Here is a 10192-nt window from a genome sequence, read left to right as displayed (position 1 = left end):
CGTTAAGCAGCAAGTGCTTATGGAAAAACTACAGCAAATTATTCAGAAGAATTAGTTAAGATAATTGATGAAGGTGGCTAAACTAATCAACAGGTTTTCAATACAGACAAAACAGCCTTCTATTGGAAGCAAACAGCATCTAGGACATTCATGGCTAAAAGGAAGTCACTGCCTCATTTCAAATCTCCAAAGACAGGCGAATTCTCTTGTTTGGAGCTAATGAAACTGGTGACATTACCAATGCTCCTTTACCATTCTGAAAATCTTCAGGCCCTTAAACATGCTAAATCTACTCTGCCTGTGCTCTGTAAATAGTACAACAAAACATAGATGAAAACATACCTGTTTACAGCATGGTTTACTGAAATTTTAAGCCCACTGTTGAGCTCTACCGCTCAGACAGAAATGTTCCTTTCAAAATATTACTGTTCATTGACAATGCACCTGGTTACCAGGAGCTCTGATGCAGATGTATAAGGAGATTAATGTCGTTTTCATGCCTGCCAACACAACATCCATTCTGTAGGCCATGGGTCAAGAAGTAATTTTGACTTTTGCATCTTAATATTTAAGAAATAGAGTTTGTAAGTCTATACCTTCCATAGACAGTGATTCCTCTGACAGATCTCAGCAAAGTGAATTGAAAAACTTTTGGAAATAATTCACCATTCTAGATAACATTAGGAATATTTGTGATTCATAGAAATGTTAACAGGAGTTTAGAAGAAGTTGATTACAATCCTCATGGATGACTTTAGGGGTTCAAAATTAAAGTGAAGAAAATAACTGCAGAGGTAGTGGAAATAGTGAGAGAACTAGAATTAGAATTGAAACCTGAAGATGTGACTGAATTGCTGTAATCTCATGATCAAACTTGAATGGATAAAAGTTACTTCTAATCAATGAGCAAAGAAAGTAGTTTCTTGAATTGAAATCTACTCCTGGTGAAGATGCTGTGAACATTGTTGAAGTGACAAGACATAATTCAGAATATTATATACATTTTATTGATAAAGCATTTGCACAGTATGAAATGATTGACTCCAATTTTGAAAAAGTGCTACTGTGCATAATATGTTATCCAACAGCATTGCATCCTACAGAGAAATCTTTCAGGAAAGGAAGAATCAATTCAAGTGACAAACTTCATTATTTTCTTATTTTAGGAAATTGTCACAGGCATTCCAAACTTAAGCAACTACGACCCTAATCAGTCTGCAGCTATTAACACTGAGGCAAGATCTTCCAACAGCGATAATATTACTACTCACTGAAGGCTCAGATAATTGTTATCACTTTCTAGATATAAGGTATATTTTAATTAAGTTATATACATTGATTTTTTAGACATAATGTTATTGCACTTAACAGATGAGGTTATAGTGTAAACATATTTTTCTATGCACTGGGAAACCAAAACGTTCATGTAACTTGCTTTATTGTGATATTAACTTCATCACAGTGGTCTGGAACCAAACCCACAATATCTCTAAGGTATGCCTGTGTATAAAACACTCAACCACCTTATCTGTTCTTTCTTTAATTGTATTATCGTGAACGTCAAGTGAACACTGAATGCTGCACACTTGCCACACTGCATTTGTTTATTCCATTCTCTTCTCTACCATATTTGAAAAAGATTTTATATTATTTCCCCAAACATTAATCACCTCCTCCTCTATCCTGCTCTCAGGTGGCAACTTTGTTTCCTACTTTCCCAAGATAATGAAATAGAAGATTTAAAAAAAAAATGTCCACTACCACTTTTGTCCACCATCTAACATCATCAATTATCCATCCCCTTCAAAATTGTTCATTTGGCATTCTTGTACATCTAAAGTAATGGGTGCTATGGCTTTTATTTGTTCCCCAAAGTTCATGTATTGGAAACTTAATCTCCAGTGCAACTGTGTTGAGAGGTGATGCCTAATAAGAGATTACTGGTCATCAAGGCTCTGTTTAATGTCATTATTATGGCATCACGTAAGTTATAGTGAGGGTGTGTAGTTATAAAGCAAGTCCATCCCCTGGTACCTCTCTGTCTTATGCGATCACTTTCACTTTCTACCCTTTCATCATAAGACAAAACTCGCCAGATGCTTGCACTATGCTCTTGGACTTTCCAGCCTCCAGAATAGTGAGCTGTATAAACTTCTGTTCTTTATATATTACCCGATCTGTAGTACTCTGTTATAAAAGCAGAAATGAAATGAATACAATGGCAAATCCATACTGTCTGTTGATTAGTCTCAAAACCCTGAAGTCATTTGACAGTTCCTTTCTTTCTCACACCTTGCATTGCCTTCTTCAGGATTTCTTATTTTCAAAACACATACAGATTCTGATCCCTAATTATCATCTCAACGTCCAGCAGCTCATTTTCTCACTGTATTACTGAAATAACATCCAGCATACTTTCATGCTTCTATCCTCCTTCTAGGTATTTTATTTTCAAATCAGCTTCTATAGATGTTCTTATATAAATCTCCCTTGGACTCTATGAACTGCTCCAATTTCTGCCCAATAAATTCTTTTTGCATACTTTATCTTTTCTTTTCATGAATTGAAATAAGTTATTTCTTTCAAACAACTGTCTTACTGAGCTCTTTTAGTGTTTATTCAAAAGATTTTTCTATTTTTATTTCTCTAGTTCTAATTCGCCTGCACACATTTCTAGGAAAAATATTTTATTATGTGTTTTACAACATTGCAGGCCTTCAGCTATGTTTTCATAATTAGTAGAAAGTATTTTCTTTTTTAATATTCACCAATATCAAGTAAAATTTGTATACAAATAAAAACTTCATTTAATTTCACTTGGATAAGATTTGTTTTTATTATTTTACTTTTATTTTAGTTTTGGGGGTATGTGTGATTTGTTACATGGGTAAATTGTGTGTTGTTGGGTTTTGCTGTATGAATGATCTTGTCACCTAGACAGGGAGCACATTACCCAACATTTTTTCAACCATTTCCCCACTTCTTCCCCGCTCCAGTAAGTAGTCCCCAGTGTCTGTTGTTCTCATTGTTGTGCTCATATGTACTCAATGTTTAGCTCCATTTATTTATAAGTGAGAACATACAGTATTTGGTTTTCTGTTCCTGCATTAATTGACTTAGGATGATGTCCTCCAGCTGCTTCCATGTTGCTGCAAAGGACATAATTTTGCTCTTTTTTATGACTCCATAGTATTCCATGTTGTATTTCTACCATATTTTTCTTATTCAGTCCATAAATGATGGGTATCTAGGTTGATTCAATGCATTTGCTATTATGAATAATGAGACCATGAACATATGAGTGCATGCGTCTTTTTGGTAGAATGATTTACTTTCCTGTGGGTATATACCCAATAATGGAGTTGCTGGGTCAAATGGTAGTTATAAGTTCTTTGAGAAATTTTCAAACAGCTTTTCACAGTTGAACTAATTTACATTCCCACTAATAGTGTATAAGCATTCCCTTTTCTTTGAAACTTTGCCAACATCTACTATTTTTTGACATTTTAATAATGGCTCTTCTAACTAATATGAAATGGTTTTGATTTCCATTTCTCTTATGATTAGTGGTATGGAGCATTTTTTCATATATTTTTTGGCTGCATGCATGTCTTCTTTTGAGAAGTGTCTGTTTATGTCCTTTGTCCTTCATATAATGAGGTCAATTGGTTTTTGCTATTGTATTCTTTACATTCCTACAGATTTGAGATTTTAGACCTCTGTCAGATGCAGTTTGCAAATATTTTCTCCCATTCTGTAGGTTGTCTGTTTACTCTGTTGAAAGGTTCTTTTTCTGTGCAGAAGCTCTTTCATTTATTTAGTTCCCATTGTTTTGGGGGACTTAATCATAAATTCTTTATCAAGGCTAATGTCCAGAAAGGTATTTCCTAGACTTCCTTCTAAGATTTTTATAGTTTTATGACTTACAGTTAAGTCTTTAATCCATCTTGAGTTTATTCTTGTATAATGGTAAGTTTCTTTTCAGCATATGGCTAGCCAGTTATCTCAGCACCATTTTCTGAATAGGGTATCCTTTCTTCATTGTTCATTTTTGTCAACTTTGTCAAAAATCAGTTGGTTGTTGATATGTGACTTTATTTATGAGTTCTCTGTCATGTTCCATTGGTTTGTTTGTTTTTGTATCAGTACCATGCCATTTTGCTTACTGTAGCCTTGTAGTATAGTTTGAAGTTGGGTAGTGTGAAGCCTCTGACTTTGTTCTTTGTGCTTAGGATTCTTTGGCCATTTGGGCTATTTTTTGGTTCCATATGAATTTTAGAATAGTTTCTTTTTTTCTAATTCTGTGAAAAATGATGCTGGTAGTCTGACAGAAATAGCATCGAATCTGTAACTTGCTTTCAGTTGTATGACCATTTTAACAATATTGATTCTTCCTATCCATGAGCAGGTTTTCCCATTTGCTTGTGTTGTCCCTGATTTCTTTCAGCAGTGTTTAGTAATTCTTATTGTAGAAGTCTTTCACATCCCTGGTTGGCTCTATTCGTAGTTATTTTATTCTTTGTGTGGCTAGTGTAAGTGACATTATGTTCTTGATTTGGCTCTCAGCTCGAATGTTATTGATGTGTAGAAATGCTACTGCTTTTTGTATCCTAAACTTTACTGAAGTCATTAATCAGTTCTAGGAGACTTTTGGGAAAATCTTTAGGGTTTTATAGGTATTCTACCATATTGTCTGCAAAAAAAAAAAAAAAGATAATTTAACTTTCTCCCTTCCTATCTGGATGCATTTTATTCTTTCTTTTGTCTGATTACTCTGGCTAGGACTTTCTGTACTATGTTGAAGAGGAGTGGTCAGAATGGACATCCTTATCTGGTTCTAGTTATCCAGGGTAATGCTTCCAGTTTTTGCCCATTCAGTGTGATATTGGCTGTGGGTTTTTCATAGATGGCTCTTATTATTTTGAGGTATGTGCTTTCAATGCCTAATTTGCTGAATGTTTTTAACATGAAGGGATATTGAATTTTATTAAAAGCATTTTATGTGTCTATCATCACGATTATATGGTTTTTAAATATTCTGTTTATGTGGTGAATCATATTTATTGATTTGTGTATGTTGAACCAACCTTGCATCATAGAAATAAAGCTTACTTAACCATGGTAAAATAACTTTTTGATGTGCTGCTGGATATGGTTTGCTAGTATTTTGTTGAGGATTTTTGTGTCTATGTTCAACAAGAATACTGACCTAAAGTTTTCTTTTTTGTTGTGTCTCTACCAGGTTTTGGCACTAAAATGATGCTGGCTTTGTACAATTAGTTAGACAGGAGTCGCTCTTCCTCAAATTTTTGGAATAATTTTAGTAGTATTGGTAATAACTCTCCTTTGTACATCTGGTAGAATTCGAGTGTGAAACTATCTGGCCAAGGGTCTTTTTGCTCATTTGTTTGTTTGTTTGATTTGGTTGGTAGGCTATTTATTACTGATTCAATTTTGAAACTCATTATTGGTTCAGGATTTCAATTTCTTCCTGATTTAATATTGGAAGGTTGTGTGTTTCCAACAATTTATCCATTTCTTCTAGGTTCTCTAGTCTCTGGGCATAGAGGTATTCCAATGTCATAAAATGTGACAAATATTTATCTTTTCCTTACTAAATATTTAGTGAATACTTAGCCTGTGCCAGTACTGTGCTAGATTCTTGGAATATATTGGATATGTTGGTTTCAGTGTTTGATCATGTGATTTTTCTATTTTCATTTCTCTAGTTCTAATTCTAGAGAATGTATTCACTTACAGTGGGACAGTTTTATAAGTAAGATGTTTTACTAATTACAGTAGATTATATAATAAATATTAAGATTCATGTATTTCAGAGAATACTACAGTATCATGAAAGCTAATTTTTTAAAAGATGCCTTTTGAATTCCACGCTAAAAAGTGAATAGGACTTCATTAGCTACCGAGAGGAAGAACAGGAGGAAGGTCATTACGGGCAGGGAACAAATAAATGACACTATATCAGAAAGATGGCAAAGTTTGTAGGGAGATGGCAAGTGATTGAATGTGAGAGGCCAGCTATTCTATCTCATATCTGTTCTCTAGCAGCTATTCAAAGCTAAGTAGCATAATGAAAACTCTTTTTTTTGTTTCCTATCTAATTTCTTTATTGTTTTCAGAGATAACAGCCTGCATTTCTTCTCTGAATATTTTTTGTTATCTATTCCATGTTATATTCATTTATTATTTCAGATTATAGCTTTAACACAACAGTTTTCTGCATTCACAATGAAACACATGGCACTTCCCATAATCTTTACTGTTAATGCTCATAATTAGTCACTTTCCCTTTAATGGATTCACTAAAATTTAGCACTTTAATCACTGCAAAAGGACTGCCTACAAATAGCACAAAGCAAAATGGAAAAGTTGTAAGGCACAACCATTTTAACTGATGAAGGGGACAAAGGGAAATAAAATTCTCATAAGTTATGAACAAGTTGTTTTTTCATATCTCATTGACTTTATTATCATTAAATTTAAAAAACATTAATATTTAAGCTGCTATTTTATATCATATTATAATTGCATTGTATATCATTATGTCATATCATCCCAAAATATAGGTAAAACACCTACTTAGCATCTGAGAGAGTAAAACTACCAATTCCCCCAGTAAAAGAAATCTGTAAAAAGAAAAACTGTACCATAAAGTTTGTCTGTTCTGCATCTTCTGAAATTTGAGTTTCAGATTATTGTAGTCCTCCTGATAAATGTATAAAATGTACACTAAGATAAGAAACAAGAGGCAGAACTATACAATGTTAATTAGAAAGTAACCAAAAATATTGGGCTCAATCTCTGGCTCTAAATCTTACTATAAGTATAATCTTTGGTAATCACTTAATATTTCTACGTGTTTTGAATGTGTAAAAATAATGATAAACTTCCTCTTCATCATAATCATCACTATAATTATATCATAGAATTTTATACAGTAAACATTTTACATTGTGGCACCCATTATTTTTCTCCTTTATGCATATGGTCCTTTTCTACTCTTTCACCCATACTTCTCTTCACCAAAATAAATAGATGAAGTTAAATCAATTAACACAAATATATCAGTAATCAATTAGTATTTTTTAAAGATAGAATATATTCTGTTCATATTCAAAGATATAACATCCATTATTGTATCTCTTATAAAGGAAATTAAATACTTCGATATTTTTCTTTCCAGTGCACATTTTAACATGTCATAATATATGTTTTATTATTCAACATGTCTATTACTTGGTGGGAAAAAATATCTGTGAAACAACTAGATTCTGGTTAAAAAATAACCTAGCTTCTGGTTTAAAATATATATATATATAGATAACATTTACATAGATATGTACATCTAGTTATATAGAAAAAATACATAAAAGATTAGCAAAGGCAAAATGCATTTGCTTATTTAATATGACTCAATTCAAAATGATGTGTTATTTTTCAAATATTCAATACTATTTAAGTCCTAAATTTCTAATGAAGTGGTTTGAACATGATAGTCAAGAAGCATTTATTTTTAAACCTTTTGTAAAACATACTTTTGTTCATCATGTTGCAAATCTCAGAAGTTTTTAACCAATTGGAATACCAAAAATTATTGGGGTATTTCTAGATATAGTCTTTAATTTTGTTACCCTTTCCAGATTAATGTGGATTCTTTTTTTTTTTTTCTGTTATATTTCTTTAATGTACTCTATTTGTGAGTTACATTAAAAACTTGGTGTACCACTGGAGTAATAAAAAATAATACTGAGAAATTAGATATATTTTACTGTGGAGTCTCTTAAATATCATCCTTAAAGTCCCTATAGCATTAGCACTTTAATCATTAACATTTTTTTAAAAAATTACACAAGAAGTCCGGGCATGGTGGCTCACGTCTGTAATCCCAACACTTTGGGAGGCCAAGGTGGTCAGATTTCTTGAGCCCAGGAGTTCAAGGCCAGCCTGGGCAACATGACAAAAACTCATCTCTACAAAAATTAACAAATTATCTGGGTGAGGTGGCATGTGCCAGTAGTTCCAGCTACTCAGGAGGCTGAGGTAGGAGGATGGCTTATGCGTGGGAGGTTAAGGCAGCAGTGGGCCGCGATTGTGCCACTACACTCCAGCCTGGGTGACAGTGTAAGATCCTGTTTAAAAACAAACAAACAAAGCTACCAGAAAATGAATTTAAAAAATTAGAAAATGTATCGTATTAATACATAAATTTTAGGTAGTACAAAGTCCAATTCTTGTTATAAGGTGTAACCAAAGTAGAAAAATTTAAGACATGATAAGTTTGAGGGCCTATCTAGCTGTATGAAAAACATGTTTGTTGTTTTAATTATCAATTAACTGAAGTAAAACTGCTAGTGTTTGAAGGTATGCTTGTTTAAAGTAATGTTGTCTTGAAAAGTACAGCAAAAACAAAAATAAACAACTAAAAACAACAATAAAAATTCTTTTGTGTATTATACATTGTGACATATATGCAGTGCTTTACTCTTTTTTTTGTCAAATATATTATAGAGACGTAGTGAAATGACACTTCAGTATTTTCCTTTTTTCTATGACTGTTCTTCCACCCTTATTCCTTTAGAAGTCTTCCATGAATCTGTTAGAGATAAAGGTGAAAATCAAACTTAACTGATAGGCACTATTAGCATCTCAAAACTCCATCCCTCCTTAGAGGACACTAAGTGTTCTATGATTAGGTCATGCCAATTATGTCTGTCTTCATAATTATCCCAAGAGACATCTTAGCACTTATACAGTGAACAGTAATGCACCTCATAATGTTTTTTTGTTTGTTTGTTTGGCATAAAAACATCAGACTGTAAATTAGTTATCAGGTGAAACTACTAAAATAATCAGATCAATGGTGCTGAAATAAATCTATATATTTCTGTTTTCTTCTTGCATCATGCATATTCACTCATAAACTTTTGTGTTCTTGAACATATACACAAAGATACAAACTGCATACTCCTTAAAACCAAATGTACCTAAAAAAAAGAGTTATATTGAAAATAATGCATACATTTTATACATTTTCCAGCTCACTAATATAACTCAGTGATAGGTTATATCTATCTAAGTGAAATATTTGTATATTTTTCAGAGCTTTATAAAATTAATAACTTTTCACATGACTGAAAATAATCAGATATAATTCATATTGCCTGTTTCTAAAGAGGTACTTAAGTTGCTTATAACATTGGTTTGTACCATAGTATAATTGGATTCTGTTTAAAAAATTTAGAAAATTATAATTTAAACACAATTATTATGTCATATAATGATTCCTGCTATTTGCAATAAAGATTTTTATTACATGCATGGTTAATCTTTATTTTTAACATAAGCTTAGAGTCCACAATGTAAAACAATTAATAACTAATACATTCTGGGACCTTTATCTCATATTTAGACTTCCCAAATGTGTTGACTTTTCTCCAAGGCTGATTAGAAATAATTATATGGCTTGTAATAATTAATTGAGAATCAAATTTTTCTTTCAGAAAACATTTCCTCTGGAATTAGCTATCTTCAAATTACCTATGACTTTTTATATTTGCATAAAAATACTTTTACTTTTCATTAGATTTAAGAAAACAATTCAGTAACTTGCGGATATCTGAATGATATAAAAGCCCATGAATTAAAATGACAGTGCCTGTATTTTATACAGTAAAAAACATGCATTTCTTTAAGTATAATTAAGTGTGCCAATTTGGAACTTATGTTTCCTTATGAGTGCACAGATAATTTAATATACAACACTATATGTTTATTTTTGCTACTATCCTATAACAATATTTTAGTATAGTTTTACTATAAAGTGATTATCTACAATATTAATATGAAATATGAAGCATAACAGAATTAAAAGTGAAAAGAAAATAATTTCTCAAAACAACAACTAAAATATTATCAATTTAATCATAACTACTGATTATGAAATATTAGTAATAAAACAAGCATAATATATTCACTATGCCTGTATACATTCAAGAATTTTGTTCATAAGTAAAATGTGCAATTCTGTAGCATTTAATTTGTGAAGAAAAGCAACTAAAATATTTTTGTTTGTTGTATCCCCTTATGTGTTTACATATCCCATTTGTTCCGCAAACGTCTATTGGCAGCCACTTCGTGCCAGAAATTGCAAATTGATACAGTATTATCTGAT

This window comes from Homo sapiens, chromosome 13 (assembly GCF_000001405.40).
Source record: "Homo sapiens chromosome 13, GRCh38.p14 Primary Assembly".
Taxonomy (NCBI): Eukaryota; Metazoa; Chordata; class Mammalia; order Primates; family Hominidae; genus Homo; species Homo sapiens.
This window is presented reverse-complemented; position numbering follows the sequence as displayed.